The sequence below is a fragment of the Homo sapiens genome, chromosome 2, assembly GCF_000001405.40.
Source record: "Homo sapiens chromosome 2, GRCh38.p14 Primary Assembly".
Taxonomy (NCBI): Eukaryota; Metazoa; Chordata; class Mammalia; order Primates; family Hominidae; genus Homo; species Homo sapiens.
Genome location: NC_000002.12, coordinates 222,656,305 through 222,678,556, shown reverse-complemented (window position 1 = coordinate 222,678,556; position 22,252 = coordinate 222,656,305). Strand labels below are relative to the sequence as shown.

The 22,252-nt window shown below is 42.4% G+C and overlaps 1 protein-coding gene, 1 long non-coding RNA gene and 1 pseudogene across 2 annotated transcripts in view, besides 1 other annotated feature; 1 reads left to right on the top strand and 2 right to left on the bottom strand.

Annotated features, from left to right (window-relative positions):
* Positions 1-6,899, bottom strand: part of MOGAT1 (monoacylglycerol O-acyltransferase 1) — a 38,273-nt gene extending 31,374 nt beyond the window's left edge. Inside the window, exon 1 of the mRNA NM_058165.3 lies at positions 6,678-6,899. Coding sequence (NP_477513.2) covers positions 6,678-6,771 — 94 coding nt within the window. The 5' untranslated portion in view covers positions 6,772-6,899. The remainder of the gene's footprint in view (positions 1-6,677) is intronic.
* RRAS2P2 (RRAS2 pseudogene 2) lies at positions 375-1,783 on the top strand (annotated as a pseudogene).
* Positions 6,900-7,554: 655 nt separating the features above from the next.
* LOC124907985 (uncharacterized) lies at positions 7,555-22,124 on the bottom strand. The gene is made up of 2 exons (XR_007088095.1): positions 22,046-22,124; positions 7,555-7,921 (listed from the first exon to the last, which is right to left on the bottom strand). It is a non-coding gene; the product is annotated as an uncharacterized LOC124907985 (long non-coding RNA).
* Positions 22,042-22,238: a silencer, noted in NCBI's record as "fragment chr2:223521038-223521234 (GRCh37/hg19 assembly coordinates)". NCBI's record gives its function as "represses an EF-1alpha promoter that drives an FKBP-Casp9 reporter gene in an ReSE screen in K562 erythroleukemia cells {active_cell/tissue: K562}" and the evidence as "EXISTENCE:reporter gene assay evidence [ECO:0000049][PMID:32094911]".

The window sequence follows — 22,252 nt, the reverse complement described above, 5'->3', positions numbered from 1 at the left end:
ATTGTTAAGAGATTGAAAGGATAATCCATAGACTGAAAGAAAAATCTATACAAAGCTCATCGCTGATAAATGACTTTATATCTAGAATACACAAGAACTCTCAAAACTCAGCAATAGGAAAACAAGCAATCCAATAAAAACCAGGCAAAAGATTTAAACAGATACTTCAACAAGGAATAGAGATGGCAACTAAGCACATGAAAAGATGCTCACGGTCATTAGTCACTGAGGAAATGCAAATTAAAGCCACATCGAGACACCACTACACACTTATTAAAACTGCAAAAATTGGGACTCAGCAACATTCTCTTGGCTCCTGGTGGTCAGTGGGGGAAGTATGTGGGCAAGTCGGCACTCATCATCCAGTTAATCCAGTCCTTTTTTCTAATGGGTTATGACCCAATCACTTAAGATTCCTATGCAAAGCAGTGTGTGACAGATAACACAGCAGGCTGGCTAGATATTTTAGATAAAGCAGAACAAGAAGAGTTTGGTTGGAGCCATGAGACAACAGAATATCAAAACTGGTGAGGGCTTCCTGTTGGTCTTTTGAGTCACAGGTCAAGGCAGTTTTGGAAAAAATCTATACATTTCAAAGACAGATTCTCAGAGTAAAGGATTATGATGAGTTTCCAATGATTTTATTTGGCAATAAAGCAGATCTGGATCATTAAAGACAAGAAACACAGGAAGGACACAGTTAGTACGGCAACTTAAGGCAGCATACCCAGAAGGCATTAGCAAAGATTAGAATGAATGTAGATTAAGCTTTCCATTAACTTGTCCAAGTTATAAGGAAATTTCAAGAGCAGTAACTTCCTTCTTCACCAGAATCGACACGGAAAGAAAAAGACAAGAAAGGCTGCTACTGTGTCATTTTCTAGAATCCTTTGAGTTTTAGCTATCAGCCTCCAGGAAAAGCCCTCATCTTCTTTTTCTCTCCTTATAGTTTACATCTCATTAGTACCTTTCTAGCCTTAGACAAATGATCATCACGTTAGCCTTAGACCTAGAAGCTGGTAAGTCCTTCCCATGAAGCTAATATAACAGTCATTTCCAGACAAATTTAAAGGAAATGCCAAGGCTGCTTCAAAATTTCTGATTTCATTAAAATATATATGCCAGGCGTGGTAGCTTTTTAGTAGAGTCAGGGTTTCACCGTGTTAGCCAGGATGGTCTTGATCTCCTGATCTCGTGATCCACCCACCTCGGCCTCCCAAAGTGCTGGGATTACAGGTGTGAGCCATTGTGCCCAGCCAATAAGTATTTTTATATGTTTATGAGCAAATATACTTCACAACATACCTTGTAAATATGTAAAGATAAGTATTTAATTCTCATTGTTCACTTTTAACTGACAAAACATAAAAAGTGGAAACTATAGAAGCTGTGGTAGAACTTTTACTTGCTGGTCTGGTTTTGGTTGTACCCACCTTTGGCCAGTCACATATCTGCTCAAGAAACCTTCCCAATAGAGTACAACAGGATGAGACTCTGAAATCATTTTCAGTATTCCCTACTAGATATTGACTGTTATATCTCAAGTATGAAGTGTAAAACTTTAGTTGACAATTAGTATAATTGTGGATGGCTTCTGACTTTGTTTTTTAATTCTGTGGATTGTGTTTAAACAATTCAAAAGCATGTTCCTGATTTTTAGATACTAAAGTACAAAGTTGTCACTTTATTGAATGTGTACAAAAATCCCATGAAGTTTATAGAGCATACCCTTATATAGCTTCAAGTGCTAGAATTAAAATTGATCAGTATCACAAGAAAAAAATTGCAAAAATTAAAAAGACTACATCAAGTGATGGTAAGGACATGGAGCAATTAGAGCTCTCATGCCCTGCCAGTGAGAATGTAAAATGATATAATACTTTGGAAGAAACTTTGGTGGTTTCTGGAAAAGTTAAACCTGCAACTGTCATATAATCAAGGCATTACATTCTTGGTTTACCTATGAATAAAGAAAGTATATGTTCATACAAATATCTGTAGGTGAAAGTTCACAGTGGTATTATTCATAATAGCTATGAGCCAAATATTCATCAATAGATGGCTGGACAATTTGCAATATATCCATGCAAGAGGATGCTGCTTAGAAACAAAAAGCAATGAACTATTGATATATATGAGAAACCGTCTCAAAATAATTACACTGAGTGAAAGAAGCCAGACAAAAAGAGAGTATATATGATGTGATTCCATTTATACAAAACTCTAGAAAATGCAAACTAATCTGTGGTGACAGATCAGATCAGATCAGATCAGGCACAGTGTGGCTCACACCTGTAATCCCAGCATTTTAAGAGGTCAAGGTGGGAGGATCCCTTGAGCCAAGGGGTTCAAGACCAACCTAGACAACATAGAGAGACCCCGTCTGTATTTAAAAAAAAAAAAAAAGGAGATCAGTGGTTGCTTGGGAAGGGGGGTTGGGGGCCAGAGAAGGAGGGCTTACTGTTTGATTTTATTACTAAATGAAACATTTTGCTACTTTAAAATATATTCCAAGTACTAATAGCTTAAACTCACTTTCCTGGTGATGGGAAGAAAAATGCATTCTGGGATTTTGATTTAGAGATCTTAAAACATCATTAATAAAACATCTCTCGTCACCACTGGAAGTAACTATTGTATCAACTCCTTACTTGAAACTTGATAATTAAATGGAAAGAAGAGTATTTATCCTTTATTTCCTGTAAGAATTGAATTGTAGGGTAGTCAAATGGTGCTACATGATGAGACAAAATTTTTAACTGCAGAAATTCTAGCTAATAAATGAAGAATAAATGATAGAATAAGAAAATTACCCTTTGGGAGGCCGAGGCAGGCAGATCACAAGGTCAGGAGACCGAGACCATCCTGGCTAACACGGTGAAACCCCGTCTCTACTAAAAATACAAAAAATCAGCCGGGCGTGGTGGTGGGCGCCTGTAGTCCCAGATACTCAGGAGGCTGAGGCAGGAGAATGGCATGAACCCGGGAGGCGGAGCTTGCAGTGAGCCGAGATCGCGCCACTGCACTCCAGCCTGGGCGACAGAGTGAGACTCCGTCTCAAAAAAAAAAAAAAAAGAAAAAGAAAATTACCATTTTGCAGTTTCAAATAAAACAGGTAATTCGGGCAAGCATCATGACTTAAATCACTAGATGAAAGATTGCAGCATGCCAGTCATCACCTCGGATTACTTCCTTCCTAGACCCACTGACCAATTGTAGACACAAATAATGAGACAAGCAGACACTCTGTGCATCCTGATGTGATGTAACATGAAGTGCACAGCAACACCTGGGAAGAAGTCTTGCCCAGAAGGTTTCATCTAAATCTAATCAAGCATTTAGCTCTAACTTCCATCTTTTAAAAGAAATACAAGGGATAGAGGAACAAGTTAACCCTGCAAAGAAGCAGACAAACTCACAAAGTGAGACATCCTGCAGGACCCATGTCAAATGGTTTCATCAAGGTTTCACTGACAAGAAAACAAAGGGGAGACACTGTTCTACCTGAAAGACATAAAAACCAAATATAATGCATGGGTCTTATTTGGATTTGGGCTCAAAGAAATTGCTAGTAAAAGTGTATTTTGTCTGGGTGCAGTGGCTAGCGCCTGTAATCCCGTTACTTTGGGAGGCTGAGGCAGGAGGATCACTTGAGCCTGGGAGTTTGAGACCAGCCAGGGCAACATAAGGAGGCCCCATTTCTACCAAAAAGAAAAAAGAACAAGAAAAAAGGTGTAGTTTTGGTACAATTTAGGATATCTGAACTTGTTTTACATGATTTTAAGTAATTTTTGTTAACTATGCTAGGTATGACAAGAGTACTATGGTTACACACAAAATACTTATTTTTAAAATATGCAAACTAAAGTATTTAGTATTAAAATATCTTAATGTGTGAATTCACTAGACACGAAGGAAACAACAGACACTGTGGCCTACATGAGGGTGGAGGGTGGAGGATGAGGAGGAAAAGCTACCTACTGGGTACTATGCCAATTATTGTGGTGATGAAATAATCTGTACAATCCCCATGATGATCAATTTACCTACATAACAAACCTGCACATGTACTCCTGAACCTAAAACTTAAAAAAAAATTATACAAAAAAAGTGATTTGTTTTAAAATATTTTTGCAAAATAATGGATAAAACATATATGGCAAATTATTAAATAATTATAAACCTAGGTCATGGGTATATGGGAATTCATACTCTTCTCTCTAGTTTCTGTATGTTTGAAATTTCCCACAATATAATTTCCAAGATATATAATACAAAATATGCTCCTGCTAACACTAATGTCAAATGTGTGAAACAAAAACATTGAGGTGAATTGGATCTAGAACCACTGTAGTTTGATTCAAATTAGACACAGGTCATTGAGCATCTGCCATGTCCTCGTCACTAATCCACTCACATGCGGTCACATGTGTCTCGACTTTCCACTACTGGGCCATGTGATCTTGAGTAACTCACTTTATCTCCTAGTTCCTTCATTGGTAAAATGAGGGTAACGGGTAGTCCTCCCTCACCAGGTTGCTGTGAGGATTACATGAGTTAATACTCTAGGGATCTGGTGGGTGCATAATTCCTATTCTGGGTGATAGACCAGAAACAGCCATTCAACAAGTATTTGTGTATATCTCAAGTATTTGTGTATATCTCAAGTATTCGTGTATATCTTCCATGGGCCAGACATATACTGTGTGTTTCCTCACTAAGCTTGTAGACTAAGACAGCCATAGAGAACTTTCTGAAGTCACCACAGCCATACACAGATACAAGCAATGATAAGTGCCATGAAAGAAAAGAACAGTGGCTATCAGAGATGTGTTGAATGATCGGTTAGGAAGTCGGACTCCAAGTTCAGGCCATTTAAGAGAGCAGTTTAGTGGTTAAAGCAGACACTTTGGGCAGAATACTTGGGTTTGAAACCAGCTCTACCACGTCCTGCTAGCTGCATCGCCTTGAGCAATTTACTTCATCTCTTAGTTCCCTCATCTGTACCAGGAGTGTAGGAATAGTCCTTACCTCACAGGGATGTTGTGAAGATTGCTAGTTAATCGTGGATGTTGCTTAGAACAGCACCTGGCACATACCAAGCGCTAGATAAGGTCGTGTGTTGTTATCTCCATGGTGCTTTGATCCAGAGCAACCCTGCCTCACGGTGTAGTCTGTGAGGACTTAATGAGTTAACACTTTGAATTACATTTTTTTTTTTTTTTGGTAAATTCTACCTAGCAGCACAGGAGAGTCACTCGGAGAGTTCTTAAGAGGAAAAAGGAAAAAAAAAAAGGTGTACAGACTTCATTCTGAAACAAATGACTTAGAAATTCCAGGGATGAGCCGGGCGCGGTGGCTCACGCCTGTAATCCCAGCACTTTGGGAGGCTGAGACAGGCGGATCACCTGAGATTGGGAGTTCGAGACCACCCTGACCAACATGGAGAAACCCCGTCTCTACTAAAAAGACAAAATTAGCCAGATGTGGTGGCACATGCCTGTAACCCCAGCTACTCGGCAGGCTGAGGCAGAAGAATTACTTGAACCCGGGAGGCGGAGGTTGTGGTGAGCCGAGATGGCGCCACTGCACTCCAGCGTGGGCAACAAGAGTGAAACTCCGTCTCAAAGATAATAATAATAATAATAATAATAATAATAATAATAAACAAATTCCAGGATGGAGCCTGGGCATCTGCACTTTTTAGAAGCTTCTCCAGTGATTCTCATCTAGAGCCAGGGTTGAGAACCACTGATTCAGGCTTTCGAAATGTAAAAGCAGTTTTAAAAGTGTAAAACTCTCCAATGCAATGGGCTTATTACTATTATTACCACCCCAACGCTGTACAATCCATGATCTTACAGCATACACATGATCTTAGTCTTCAGAAGAGTTTATGTTTCAATAGAAGGGTCTCCCCCAAATTCCTCCCTCCTCCCACATCACCCCTATTTACTTCAAGAGCAGAACAAATATGAAGGAAAAAACAAAAAACAAAAAGAAAAACCACCCACGTTTTTGCCCCATCTAATGATTCGGCTCGTGTATGTTTCATGGGCTCAACTTGGGAACCAACTGGAACACACACGCTACTGAGTCAAACTATTTCCAGAGAGAAACCGCTCAACCAAATGCAATGAGTGGTGCAGCCTTCTTTACAGAAAGGTACTGCTATGCATCCAGGAAATCTCCAAAACGGGAAAGGGAACACTGCTCTTTGTCAGGAGGGTGGGGAGACAAAGAGGGAGAAGGAACAAGGTTTTAACTACTGAGGCATTACTTTGCCATCTATGAATCAACAGTTCGAGAAACGAGTTTGCCAACTTTTGAGGGGTTAAAGTGCTCATGCGTTCGATGGGGTCATGGTTACATTTTGGTAGATACAGTCGCCAAAAGTCATCGAGCTGTATCCGTATAACTGCGCCTTTTATTGTAGGCAAGGTGCACCTCAATTTAAAAAAGTAACGCAGGAGAAAATAAAATTAAACAGTCGTTAGCGATGAGGTTCTCGTGAGGAAACCAGAGTCCACGTTAGCTCCAAATGCCCTCTTTGACCTGCCTGCTCTGGCCGACAGGGGAACGAGGGTTGGAAGGTTCTATGCAGGTCCTGGAATCCGGACCGTCCCGAGGGAGGATATGGAGCCCAAGCCCCGCGGCCCGGGGGGCGGGGTCCTTACCGAGCAGCAGGTATTTCAGGACCCACTGCAGCACGGCCACCGTCTGCAGCCGCCGCGCCAGCTGGATGTTGAGCGGTGCAAACTCTACCTTCATGGCCTGGCCGGGCGAGGACGGCGCCAGCCACTGCAGCCTGCACCCACGCTGCTCTGCGGCGCCTGTGGGAAGTGCCCGGCCGGATCCGGGCCCCGCGCTGGGCACTGGCTGGGCGGAGAGGAAAAGGCAGAGGCTAGGCAGCGAGCGGGGACCCAACTGCGCCCTGGGTGGGAGGGCGCGCTGGGCTGAGGCTGGGGGCAGCCAATCACAAGCGCCGGGCGCCAGAGCTGGCCCAGCGCCCTGGCCCCGGAGCAGCTACAGCGGCCCGGGCGCATTGGCTGGCGCGCCGGGCGTTGGCGAGAGTGCGCCGCGTGGGACACGAGGGACGGGGAGAGGGGTCAACTGGCAGCCAGCCCGAGCCGGGCAGCGCGGGCTCCTGCCGCCTGGCTGAGGACCTGGGATCTCCACCAGGATCTGACCATTGTTCAGCTGATCGATCACCCAGCGCTTGCCTTCAGCATCCCACCCCTTCATTCGAACCCTCGGTGATTGGGGAAGGGTTAGTTTGAGGAATCGCACACCAGCTGGAGAGATGAGCGAGACTTGTTTCTTAGTTTATTGATCTGTGTCCCCCCGCAACCTCCAATTTCCCCGCGGATGGGGAAGGGGACCTGGCTTCCTCACTCTTGGGTCCTCAGTTCCCTACAGGAGCTCCGGGAATCTTTCACCCATTCATTCATTCAACCCACATTTATTGAGCACTTGCCACTTGCTGAGCACCATCCGGGCGCTTGGATAACCAAGCTGTCAAGCGCATCCGTGTGAAGAGACCACCAACAGGCATTGTGTGAGCAACAAGGCTGTTTATTCACTTAGGTGCAAGTCAGCTGAGTCCGAAAAAGAGTCAGCGAAGGGAGATGGGGAAGGGGTTGCTTTATAGGAGTTGTCTAGGTAATGGAAAATTACAGTAGAAGGTGGTTATCTATTGTTAGCAGAGGAAGGGGTCACAAGGTACAGGGTGGGGAGATCATAAGACTCATTGTCCAGAAGAAGAATGTCACAAAGTCGATTGATCGGCTAAGGTAGGGCAGGGACAAGTCACAATGGTAAAATGTTGTAATGTTGGTTAATCAGTTAAGGCAGGAACTGGCTGTTTTACTTCTTTGCGTTTTTTTTGGCTGCTCCAGGCTTCTTGGCTCCTGCAGGCCACCTGGATGTGTACATGCAGGTCACAGAGGTTATAATGGCTGAGCTTTGGCTCAGAGGCCTGACACAAGCTATTCATTGTCTTGTTCTCAGAGTACAGGGGGAAACAGACATAAGCAAAACAACTACACAATTTGGTGTATAATTACAAGTAAGACCCTACTGTGAATGACTAGAAGATTCCAAAACCAAGACTGCTGCACGGTCAGGGAAGTGTCTGAAGAAGTGCCCTTACTTGAGCTGTAGCCAAATCTAGTTAACCCAGGAGTCATCCGGGCAAAGGGAAGCACATATGCAAAGGTCCTGTGGCTGAACTCCAAGAAGAGCTCAAAGAGTGAGAGCTTGGGGGACAAGGGTGAGATTGGGGTGACATCAGGCAAAAATGGTGGGCAAGGTCCAGACCCTTGCAGACTGAGTTAGGGTTCAAGTTTGAACCCCAAGAGCAGTACAAGACACTGAAGGGTTTCAATTACGATGTGCTAAATGGATGGCTAGATTCTAAATAGTGCCTAGTCCTTGGGAGCAACCACTGCACTTTATTTATAAATATTAATTACCACATAGTTGAAAAACTCAAAATGATGAGCAGCTGTCAAGTCATTGCTGAAGAGGACTTGGAACAGGGCAAAACAATATAGTTGGCCCTCCTTTCTCCCCCATCCTATGCCCTTTTCTCCTTCAACATTTTAATACAAAGGGAGTTGGATTAAAACAAATACCAGGGCCACTTGGAGGAGTTGTTTGTGATTTTTTGTATGCAAAACTTGTTTGGGTTTCTTTTTCCTCCTACTTAAGGAGTCACTTTCTTCTTTCCTTTTAGATTTCTTCCTTGAATCTTCCCCCAGTGCTAGGTGGGGACACTACGAACACACCCTATGTCAGGCACTCTGCAGAGACCTCACAGGCGTAATCTCAAAAACCCTACAAAGTACGCATTCACTTCAACTTTGCAGCTGAGGAAATTAGGGCTTAAAGTCACACAGCTGGTAAATGGCAGAATAGAGAAGATTCAAATTTCTATAAAACCTGGAGAGGCGAGTCATCCCTTCATCAACTGAACCAAACATAGAACAAACATTTATGGAGTGCCTGCATTGCCTTGGGCATTGTCCTTGGTACTGATGACACAAACGTGAATTAAGATGAGGTCTCTGTGCCTTTGAGAATTTACACACATTTACTTATTGACTATTTGTGGAAAGCTTTCTATGTATTAGGCACTGGGTAGGGAAAGGAGATGAGTTACAATGGTGAATAAGAAAAGTCTTTGTCCTGCTGCAGCTCACAGTCTAGTGGGAGAAACAGAAAATACCTACCTATGTAGACAACCAAATGTGTGACAGTGCCCTGAAGGAAACACATAGGCTGATACAGAATAATGGGCACCTATTTAGAACAGATTGGAGGTAGCAAGAGTGGAAGTAGGCATATCCCCTAAGAAGGCTATTGTAGGATGATTGTAGAGGATGTGGAAGCTTGGGAAAATATAGACTTGAGATATGCATGGGACATATAAATGGTAGGACTCTTTGATTCATTGGATTTCGAATCTGTCGGTAAAGAAGAGCAAAACACCGAGAACTCCTGATCCTGATCACTTGGAGTTTGCTTGCTTAGTAATGTATTTGTTACTTTCCCAGAACACTAAGCTGATAGATAAGAACTGTCATATCCTGTCACAGCCATCACAGCCAACTGAAACAAAGCATGGACTCACCAGCACTCAGTCAATGCAACAGTCCATCACCATTTTAATCAACAATTAAATTATTTGCTCATCCTTTTGACATTCAACATGTATTTATTTGTTTACATATTGTGTGCCAAGTTACTTGAGTTAAGTGATCACTGGATTTACATAGTGGGAAAGTTTTAATTCATCAAGCTATTCAAAACAATTCTAAATGAACCTAAGATTCCAGAGCCTAACTGCTATACTAGGCTGTTTCTCAAATAATATAAGGAAGAAAGGGAGTGTTGTCACAACAGAGGAACAAGTCATTGAAGGGTAAGTAGAAGAGTGCTGATGACTGAACCTGTCATTTGGGTTGAGGTGTAGTTATCCATTCAGTCAACAAATATTTTAGCAAATGATTAAAGAAAAATACATTTGGCAGAAGTGTCAGCTTTGTTCCTATGGGCCTGGAATTGGCTAAATATGAGTGAATAATACATATATATGTTTACAATAATTCAATGAAAATGTACCAAGCACCACAGCTGTGGCAAGTCCTGGGGAAGGAACCAACACAGTCCCTTTGAAGATCTGGGATTCCACTGATGGGTATGGTTCCTCTTTCTACTTCTCAACTCTGATGAAGAAATAAGGTCACAGGCCAGATTGTCTCAACAATTATGAAAGGCTACTCTTGGAATTGAGAAATAAGAAATCATTTCCTTGTTCTAATTATTTCTTCCTGTGCACTTTACTATAACTAACATCTACTAGTAGAAAGGTGACAATGTCTTTCTATAACATGACGTTTTACTGTAACTTAAGTAAAAATGTTCTCATTGTTAGGTTAAAAAGGAAATAGTATTCTGTTAGTATTCTGTCTAGACAGAGTCCTTACAGGGGATAGTTTAGGGCAAAGGTCATGGTTCTGATTTTCATAAGATGCATTAATCATAAAAGTAAGTATTCTCTCTCTCTCTCACGCGTGCGCGCACAGACACACACACACACACACACACACACACACACACACAAACACACAACACTGAGAGCGGCCAGCTCTGGTTAAAGTAAAATAGAAGGCCATCACTATGGTAGTTTCAATGGAATGTGCTTTAAGAAGTTCTATTTTCAAGGCTCTTTTGAACAAAGTTTAAGAAATTTGCTGTGGTCCCTCTACATTCTTATTGTCTTCTCAATTAACTATTTGATCAATCTGACAAGGCTCGGGTATGTTTGCTCTGGGGAAAGTTGCAGGAACCTTGCCTGAGAAGGTGAGGCTTTGTAGCCCCACGGTTACCATCCAAGGTTTCCTTTCCTCCATATTTTCTTATTGCTACAAGTACACACAAGGTCTCAGACCCCATGTACCATTCCTGCCTTCCTTCCTTTCACATTTTCCTTCGAAAACTCCATTCATAGAAGTTCAAGTGTTGTCTCTCCGTTAGTTAATTTATGTTAATATGTGACATTTTCTCTACAAAATATGTGCTTCTCTAATTGCTCCTTTTGTGTGTTTGTCTGTTTTTTGAGACAGTCTTGCTCTGCTGCCCAGGCTGGAGTGCAGTGGGGCGATCTTGGTTCACTGCAACCTCTGCCTCCCAGGTTCAAGCGATTCTCATGCCTCAGCCTCCCAGAGAAGCTGGGACTACAGGTGCGCACCACCATGCCCGGCTAATTTTTTGTATTTTTAGTAGAGATGGGGTTTCACCATGTTGTTGCCCAGTCTGGTCTGAAACTCCTGAGCTCAGGCAATCCACCTGCCTCAGCCTCCCAAAGTGCTAAGATTACATGCGTAAACCACTGTGCCCAGCCCCTAATTGCTCTTTTAAATTGTTGTAACACTATGACTGATTACTGTTAGAAATTATGAGGATAATGACTAGTATTTATTAAATATCCTTTCTCTTCCCATGACCCTCACCCACACCTTCATTTGCATTTGCCCTGGGACAGTAATTGGAGGTCCAGCAACACACTCAAGGTAGGAACAAGAAGAAAGGGATTCGGAAGGTTTACTGCAACTGTCCTGAACCCAAGGCAATCTTATAAAAGAGGCAGTCAGCAACTCCAACAACAGTGCCCTTGGGGACACGACAAAGCAGTTTCCATTACTTAGCTCCAGTTTCCAAGAAGATCCAGGCTATGGTCTGAATGTTTGTTTTTTCCCCAAGTCCCCCAAAATTTACATTAGGTGAAATCCTAACCACCAAGGTAATGGTATTAAGAGGTGTGGCCTTTGGGGAGTGATTATATCATGACAGCTCCTCCCTCATGAATGGACTTAGTGCCCTTATAAAAGATGTTGAAGGGAGCTCTTTTGCTCCTTCTGCCATAGGAGGACCCAGCAACAAGTCAGCTGTTGCAACTCAAAAGAGGGCCCTCACCAGAACCTGACCATGCCAGCACCCTGATCTTGAACTTCCCAGCCTCTAGAACTGTGAGAAATAAATTGTGGTTGTTTATAAGCCACCCAGTATATGATATGTTGCTATAGTAGCCTGAATGGACAAAGACAGTCCAATCCAGTGGATGTTTTGTTTTGCTTCAACACATGCCATCTTCCCAGTCCTGACTGCTATCATTTCTCCTCTGCATTATTGCAACCTCCTAACTGATCTTCTTGCTGTGAGTTTTACCCTCCAAACCACTACTCCTTATCCCCTTTCCACAACGTGCCCAGTGTGATCTTTTCCATTACTTTTCAAACATCGTTTAAAATCTTTGAATTTCTTCACAATTGCTGTCAAGATAAAGTCCAAATTCTTTAATATGGTTTTGGACTCTGCATTATAGGTCATCTACATCTCACTTCTTGAGTCTCAGCTATAACTTTCCAATACTCGCAAGCTAAGCTTTAATAATTCTGAACTTAATTTGTTGTTGAACAGTCAAGTTTCAGGAGGAAGAGACACATGGGTCTCAAGAACAACCAGTCAGTTTGATGTGTCTAGGCCCTCTCTCTCTCTGTCTTCTCTCTTGCTGTGAGAGTCATTTTACCTTGCTGGAGATTAATTTTCTCCATGGGGTGGGAAACATGGCCACTAATGGCCCTACACTTGTACATTACAGCTTCCGCCTTTAAATCAAATGGACTTAAGTTCCCTATGGTCCCAAGTCCAAAATCCAGCTGGCATCAGGCGTCAACTTCTGTATCAATTCATTCAAATGAGATACAGGGTCCCATTGCTGTAACATGGTGGCTGTCAAATTTGCCCTTGTAGCAGAGAAAGAAAATTCTGGGCAGATGATGCCAAGCTTCTGCAATCAAAACCAATCAGAAGGGAGAAATGAGTGAGGAGGAGTTAAGTTGACTTCAGTATTTCCAATTTGGATAACTCAGTGGATGGTGGTGACATTGAAAAGGAAAGGCAGACATGGGAAAAAATGAATCTTGGGGAAACTTCAGTTTTTGACATGTTGAGTATGAGATGCCAGCATGTTGGACAGCCAGGTGCAGATGTTCAGAAGCTGGTAAGAAATATGTACAGAAGAGGCCAGGCACGGTGGCTCACGCCTGTAATCCCAGCACTTTGGGAGGCTGAGGCAGGCGGATCACGAGGTCAGGAGATCGAGACCATCCTGGCTAACACGGTGAAACTCTGTCTCTACTAAAAATACAAAAAAAAATTAGCTGGGCGTGGTGGCAGGCACCTGTAGTCCCAGCTACTTGGGAGGCTGAGGTAGGAGAGTGGCGTGAACCCGGGAGGTGGAGGTTGCAGTGAGCCAAGATAGCGCCACTGCACTCCAGCCCAGGAGACAGAGTGATACTCCATCCCCAAAAAAAAAAAAAAAAAAAAAAAAGAAATATGTACAAAAGAGAGATAAAGGCTGAAGATAGGAAGGGAGCCGTCTGTGTTTAGGTGGTAGTGGAGGCTGCAGACCTCACTCCAGGAGAAGATTTCTAAGCACGTAACTCTGGATAGCACCCCACATAGAAGGAAGGGAAAGTGCAGTGTAGGAGGTAGAGGAGGCCGCAACAGAGTTAATATTTATTCAGTGTTCATGATAGGCCAAACCCTACACGAACTATTTCTCTTAAAATTCTCACAACCATCACATGGTATACCTACAAGGTAGGTATTGTTGTTATCTTCACATTACAGATGAGGAACTGAGGCTCATCAGTATTGTGTCATTGGTCCAAGGTCTCAGTGAACAGTAGATCCAGGATTTAAATCTGTGACTGATAGAACTCAATACTATGTTGTATTGCTTTTGCCTATCGCATAGTGACAGTAGAAAAATCCAAGGAGCTAATCAGGAGCCTGGAGTCAGGAAAACTAAGGAAGGAGAATATCAGGAACGAGGGAATTGTCAATACTATAAAATGTGTAATGAGTTTATTTGAAAAATCCAATTTAGGCCGGGTGCGGTGGCTCACGCCTGTAATCCCAGGACTTTGGGAGGCCGAGGTGGGTGGATCACGAGGCCAGGAGATCGACACCATCCTGGCTAACATGGTGAAACCCTGTCTCTACTAAAAATACAAAAAACATTACTTGGGCATGGTGGCGAGCGCCTATAGTTCCAGCTACTCAGGAGGCTGAGGCAGGAGAATGGCTTGAACCTGGGAGGCGGAGCTTGCAGTGAGCCGAGATCGCACCACTGCACTCCAGCCTGGGCAACAAAGCGAGACTCCATCTCCAAAAAAAAAAAAAAAAAAAAAAAAAAATCCAATTTAAAATGACCATCGTTTTGACAAATTCCTTAGTGCTGATCAAACTGATTCTTGTGAGGTCTTTCAGACCTTCTTGATTCTAGATGGATCTAGCAATAGAAACCCAAAAAGATGTACGGACTTTGGTTATGTCCTAAAAGTTTCAGAGTAATCTACAGAGAGATTGGAGTGCACCCAGGAAATTTATAGGAAAGGCATATAAGATTATGGATAGAACAGAACCAGTTTTGGATATGCAGCAAGTAAAAGCAAGGCCAGTTACAGTAAACTGTATCATCCATTACCTGTATTGAAAGCCCTGCCTCACCCTCTGGGAGATAGCAGCTCAAGTTTTACTAAACTTCACACCAGAAAGAGGTCATAGTCTCAGATCACTTGGGTAATTTATACTGAAGGTAATATACTGGGTAATTACTTTCAGTATAAATATCTACTAATCAAATAGCACTTTGCAGGTTTCAAATTGTCTCCACATACTTTATCCTCACAACCATCAGATGGAATACTATCACCATTTTGTGAATGAAGAAACTGAGGCTGCAAGCGGAGCCTGTTTGCTTTTGGACAGGAAAGCACTACACAGTATCAGCATGCCCCTTTAAGCTATCAGTAGCTCTAGTGTAAAATGTCATCTGACCCCGTACTGCAATTTAGGACCTGTGTGAGAAGAACTTCAGACCTGACAGCATAGCTTTCACAGTTACTGGCCAACCCACAAGCATTACAGGAAAGTGACACAATCATTTCAGAAATTTTCTCTGAGCTTATTACATATTTTATAGGCAAAAACAATCCACGGGTGCAGGCTCTGATTCCAGGTGATAATGAGAGAGCTGGACAATCTACCAATGTCTGATTAGTCAGGGAAAAGGAGTGAGCATGATTGTGTTTTATGATAGCCTTGGTTTTATTTTCTCATAATAAAATAATACTTGCTAGTTACAATTCTGTAAAATATAAGATACAATTTTAAAAAATCTCACCAATCCAAGAATAGCGACTGCTAACATTTTGTTGTATATCATGGTAGCCATTTTATTTTGTTCACACTCATACATACGTGCATTTTTTTTTCTTTTTTTGAGAGGGAGCCTCACTCTTATTGCCCAGGCTGGAGTGCAATGGCGTGATCTCAGCTCACTGCAACCTCCACCTCCCAGGTTCACGTGATTCTCATGCCTCAGCCTCCTGAGGAGCTATGATTACAGGTGCCCACCACCATGCCTGGCTAATTTTTTAAATATTTTTAGTACAGATGGGTTTTCACCATGTTGGCCAGGTTGGTTTTGAACTCCTGACCTCAAGTGATCTGCCCACCTCAGCCTCCCAAAGTGCTAGGATTATAAGCATGAACCACTGTGCCCAGCTATATATGCATTTTTAAAACAAAATATTGGTCATTTAAAGTATATTGTTCAGCCCGGGCAACATAATGAGACCCTGTCTCTACAAAAAAGTTAAAAAATTTGCCAGGTGTGGTGGTGTGTGCCTGTGGTTCCAGCTATTTGGGAGGCTGAGGTGGCAGAATCACTGGAGCCCAGGAGATCAAGGCTGCGGTGAGCTATGATCATGCCACTGTGCTTCAGCTTGGGTGAAAAAGTACGACCCTGTCTCTAAAATGAAACAAAATTAAATAAATAAAAATAAAGTATATTGCTTAGTAACTGTACTTTCATATCATAAAGTTCACTTGTTATGAAGTTTGTACCATGTTAAAAAATGTAGATGGCTGAGCTGGGTGTGGTGGCTCACACCTGTAACCCCAGCACTTGGGGAGGCCGAGGTGGGCGGATCACGAGGTCAAGAGATGGAGACCATCCTGGCCAACATGGTGAAACCCTGTCTCTACTAAAAATACAAAAATTAGCCGGGCGTGGTGGCGTGTGCCTGTAGTCCCAGCTATTTGGGAGGCTGAGGCAGGAGAATTGCTTGAGCCTGGGAGGCGGAGGTTGCAGTGAGCCAAGATCACACCACTGCAATCCAGCCTGGATGACAGAGGGAGACTCCATCTAAAAAAAAAAAAAAAAAAAAGGTAGATAGCTAACATCATTTTTAATGTTTGCATAGTATTTTACTGCATAAAGGTATCCTACTCTATTTAATCGAGCTCATATTGTTGAATGTTTAGGTTGTTTCAACATTTTCTACATTGCAAAGACTTGTTTCATTATTTCCTTAGAATAATTATAGGAGTGGAATTTTAGGATCAAAGAGAAAAAATCTTTAATATGTTGATTTATATTGTCAAACTGCTACTTATATTCCCAACAGGAGTTAAAGTGCCAGCTTCCTAAATTTTTGCCAATACAGGGTCGGTATGATTTGTTTCTTTAATGCCTGCCGGTCTCCCTGGAGAAAATATCCATAACTTGTATTGTTGTTTTAATTTACATTCTCTTCTCTTCTTGTTTTTTTTGTTTGTATTTAATTGGTGCTCACTTCCTTTGCTCATTTTTTTAGTACTGAAGTATGTATTTGTAAAAAGAAAAGGTAATATAGCAAGTATTCCTAACATTAAAACTTCAAATATTTATTGATGGTCTGCCCTCTGCCAGGCACTGTTTGAGGTTCTTGGCATGTGTTAGTGAACAAAACACAAAAATCTCTGCCTTTACAGGCTCATGTTTTAGCAGAGAGAGACGTATATATCTAATAACCATAACTAATAGTATAGTCAGGGATAGGCTTTTCTGGGAAGACTTCAAAGAGCCAAGGGATCTAGCTCTATGGGAATCTATGGGCAAGAACATTCAAGCAGAAGGCCTAAGGTGAGCCACTGCCTGGCACACTTAAGAACTTACATGGAGCCTGTGGTTCTTGGATGGAAAGATTCCTAAATTAATCCATAAATTATGTTTGATTCCAAATACATGATAAAAGAATGTTTTCCAGAACTTGAAAAAATCTTAAAGTTCATCTAGAAAAATCAACATGAGATAAAAGTCATGGAAGTTTTGAAAAAGAAGGCATTGAAGGTACACTAACTTACTAACTTTTCCAACTATTAAAATGTATTATAGTACTATAGTAATTGAAAAAGCTTCGTACAGGCAATGGAACACACAGTTCAGGAATAAACCTAAATATATAGATATATATATGGAAATTTAATAAAGAATGTATTTCAAATCCATGAGTAAAAAGAAGCTTATTTAATAAATAATGTATTAACTGAATTGTTTAAAAACAAACATAAAGCTGGTTCATTCACTCACTCCAAAACCAAAACAAATTTCAGAAAGATCTGAGATTTAAATGCAAAAGAAAAATAAAAACCCATTCAAGTACTCTGAGAAACATACTTAAAAAAAAAAATCTTGGGATTAAGAAAGACCTTTTAAAACATAACCTAAACCCCATAATCTATAAAGGAAAAGAATAATAAATTAGACTAAAGTTTTTAAAAAGCCCTTTATCCAGGCCGGGTGCGGTGGCTCACACCTGTAATCCTAGCACTTTGGGAGGCCAAGACAGGTGATTCACCTGAGGTCAGGAGTTCGAGACCAGCCTGGCCAACCCCATCTCCACTAAAAATACAAAAATTAGCTGGGCGTGGTGGCAGGTGCCTGTAATCCCAGCTACTCAGGAGGCTGAGGCAGGAGAATCACTTGAACCCAGGAGGTAGAGGTTGCAGTGAGCCAAGATGGGCCATTGCACTCCAGCCTGGGCTACGAGTGAAACTCCATCTCAAAAGGAAAAAAAAAAAAGCCCTTTATGAAGAAAAAGAACACCTTAAAGCGAAATCAACTGTCAAGTATTCCTATTGTGTTTCTGCTCAGCCATCTGCCACCCAGCATTCGTCTCCCCACCCCTGAAATAGAGTGCCACACTCAACTGTTGTTTCCCACCTTCATCTTTTCTTTCTTAAAATACATCCACAAAGGTATACCAGATAAAATAGAACACTACCAATACTTTTGAAACCCTTTGGGTAGTGTGTTGGTTAATTTTATGTACCAACTTGACTGGGCTAATGGGTACCCAGGTAGCTGGTTAAACATTATGTCTGGGTGTGTGAGGGCATTCCTGGAAGAGATTAGCATTTGTTTTTATTTTTTTGAGATGGAGTCTTGCTCTGTTGCCCAGGCTGGAGTGCAGTGGTGCAACCTTGGCTCACTGCAACCTCCGCCTCCTGGGTTCAAGCAATTCCTCTACCTCAGCCTCCCAAGCTGGGACTACAGGCGTGCACCACCATGCCCAGCTAATTTTTGTATTTTTAGTAGAGACGGGGTTTTGCTATGTTAGCCAGGTTGGTCTCAAACTTCTGACCTCAAGTGATCTGCCTGCCTCAGTCTCCCAAAGTGCTAGGATTACAGGCGTGAGCCACCACACCCAGCCAAGATTAGCATTTGAATGGATAGACTGAGTAAAGCAAATGGCCCTCCCCAATGTGGGTAGGTATTATCCAATCCATGGTGGGCCTGAAGAGAATAAAAAGGGGGAGGAAGGCTGCATTCACTCTCTGTCTGAATACTTGAGCTGGGCCATAGATCTTTCCCTGCTCTCAGTTCTCCCTGCTTTCAGGCCTTGAGACAGCATCTGTACCACCACCTCTTCAGCTCTCAGGGCTTCAAACTACTTCACTCATTTTCATGGGTCTCCAGCTTGCAGATGGTAGATTGTGGGACTTCTCAGTTTCCATAATGATGTGAGACAATACTTTATAATAAATATCTGTCTACTTGTTTCCTATTTATTTATCTGGAGGACTCTGAGTAATACAGGTATTCCAACACTCCAGGCTGCAGCCCTGCCAACTCACTCAGAACTCACTGGTCTCATATTTTGTGTTTGTCATCCTCTGCTTTTACTACAGGCTTACCATTCTATTTATGTATGCCTAACAATATACTCTTTAGGTTAGCCTGGTTTTTAGTGTTTATATTAATGGCATCAAGGATACATATTCTTCTGTGATTTACATTTTTCCCTCAAAATTACAACGTAAGATTTATCCAAGTTGATACATGCAGGTGTAGTTCATTTGTTTACATAACTGTATGGTGTTTCACTGTATACATTTATCATAACTGTCTACCCATTCTAGTACTGACAAACATTGGGTTGTTCCTAGATTTCTGTTATAATGAACAATGTAACCATGAAAATTCTTATTTGAGTCTTCTGGTGCACATGGGTAAGAGTTTCTCTGGGGGAATATTCCTAGCAGTGCAATTGCTGGGTAGTAGGATATGGACATGCCCCATTTTTCTAGGTAAGGCCATATTTTCCAAAGAGGTTATATCAATTTATACTCCCAAATTCTTGCCAAGATCTGATTTTTTTCAGACTTTAAGACTTCTAGCAGTCTCCTAGGTATAAACATGTATGTCCTTATAATTTTTATTTGCATCTCCTTAATTTCTGCTGAGCTGAGAGTTTTTCCATGCCTTTTGTCCAGCTCGTCTTTCCTTCCTAGGAAATGCTGCCACCTCATTCCTGCTTTCAGTCTGGCCCCAAAGTTAGATGAAAGAAGCATGTACCTACATTTTGTGATATACGATCTCATCATTTTCCATGTACCTTTCCTTTCAGTTAGCTAATGCCATTTGTGATGAGCCCTAGTGGCCTAGTTTCCTCTTTTCCATTAGAATCTTCTAACAGTTTAGCTTCTCACAGAGAAGGGACAGAGTACCTGTAACATGTGCAATGATAAAAAGTAGGATAGGTCAGTTGGGGGATGTGAGAGATGGGAACAAAATGCCCCTTGGTGGTCTGAGACTAGCAGAAAACTAACTAGGAGGATTAAAAAAAATGACAGTTGCCCCATTTCCAGGACCTCTGACATGATAAGAACTATACTAGTTATTTATGAGTATTATTTCAAATTCTTACAATAATTCTTTTTTAGTTTTTAAGACAAGGTCTCACTTTGTCACCCAGGCTGGAGTGCTGTGGCGCGATCACAGCTCACCACAGCCTCAACCTCCCGGGCTCAAGTGATCCGCGTAGATGGGATCATAGGTGTGTTGCCGCCATGCCTGGCTAATTTTTCTTTTTGTTTAGAGATGGGGTCCAACTCTGTTGCCCACGCTGGTTTTGAAATCCTGGGCTCAAGTAATCCTCCCACCTCGGCCTCCCAAAGTGCTGGAATTACAGATATGGGACACAATAATTCTTTAAGGTGTATATTATTATCCCTATTTTATGGATGAGGAAACTGAGGTTCAGAGGCCACAGAACACTTTGGAGTGCCCAAAGCAGAGCAGGTCAGCAGGAAGTCCTTTGGTTATTTATTATTACTATTTTGTTGTTGTTGTTGTTATTGCTTTTAAGACAGAGTCTTGCTCTGTCACCCAGGCTGGAGTGCAGTGGCGTGATCTTGGCTCACTGCAACCTCTGCCTCCTGGGTTAAAGTGATTCTCAGTCCTCAGCCTCCCCAGTAGCTGGGATTACAAGTGCCCACCACCACACCCAGCTAATTTTTGTAATTTTAGTAGAGATGGGGTTTTATCATGTTGGCCAGGCTGGTTTCCAACTCTTGACCTCAAGTGATCTGCCCACTTCAGCCTCCCAAAGTGTTGGTATTACAAGTGTGAGCCATCATGCCTGGCACTAGTCCTTTGCTTATTAATTGAGCAGAAAGCACCAATTTTAGGTGGAAAGCTGTATTTTGCATTGGGGATGTTTGCCATTTATGGGGTGTTGCCAATCTGTTATGTTGGTCACTGGGAAGGGACTGCCTTCCCATGGAGGGGAGCTAATACTGTATAGTGAAAAACTGCTTGATTAATAGTTAGGGTGGCTTACATCTGGCTCAGCTTTTCTCCCCTCATGTGAAGGACTTTGGAAGAAGCCCTCACTCACTGTACAGTAGAAAGGATTAGGGCAAGGCTCCCCCTGGAACTGCCAGTTTGTGCCTTAGTTTCATTACCTGTAAAACAGGGATAATGGTACCTATCTTGATGTATTAGTTTCCCTTGGCTGCTGAAACAAATTACCACGAACTTGCTGACTTAAACCATAAATTTATGCTCTCACAGTTCTGGAGGCCAGAAACCCAAAATCAGTTTCACTGGGCCCAAATCAGCATGCATTATAGGGCTGCCCCATGGGCTGGGCGTGAATCTGTCCTTGTCTCTGTTTATTTCAGGGATACATGTGCAGGATGTGAAGGTTTGTTACATAGGTAAATGTATGCCATGGTGGTTTGCTGCCCAGATCATCCCATCACCTAAGTATTAAGCCCAGCATCTATTAGCTATTCTTGATGCTCCCCGCTCCTCCACCCCCTCACCCCCAGTGTGTGCTTGTCTCTTTGTTTCTGGTGGCTGCTGGCATCCTTGGGTTGTGGCTGCCATACTCCAATCTCTGCCACCGTGGCTAAATCGTCTCTCTCAACCTCCCTTTTATGATTTGATGAGGATACTGTGATTCCATTTAGTGTTCGTCTTTCGAATCCAGGATAATCTTCATCTCAAAATCCTTAACTTAACCTGCAAAGACGCTGTTTCCATATAAAGTTACATTTAGAGGTTGCAGGGATTAGGGTCTGATATTATTGGGGGCCGTTATTCAGCCTATTACACTCAGGGTTGTTTTAAGGAGGAAATTTAATGCTGGCAGAGGGCTGAGCACAGCCCACTGACAGCAGAGAGCACTGAGCAAATAGACAAAAAAAGAGGTCTCTTACAATGCCTCCCTTATAGGGCTGCCGTAAAGTTCAAACAAAGCACAGGTATATCACTTATACGAGTAGAGGAGAGATTAAAGAATGAAGTAAAAACTGAGGTCTGTTAACAGCCCCTCTCCCGCCGCCAGGATTTGCACACCTTTCTCTGCAGGAAGCCTTGAACCCTCTCCACTCGCATTTCCACCACCTCCAGGCAAGATCTCCCACGTGGAGGCCCCACCCCCTCCCTGACGCGCCCCACTCTCGCCCCGCCCACCTGGTGGGCGTCCCCGGCCGTTAGCGCCCTGGAAGCATCCGGGACTTCAGGGTCAGTACATTACAATGCCTGACAAATCCTAGCCAGTTC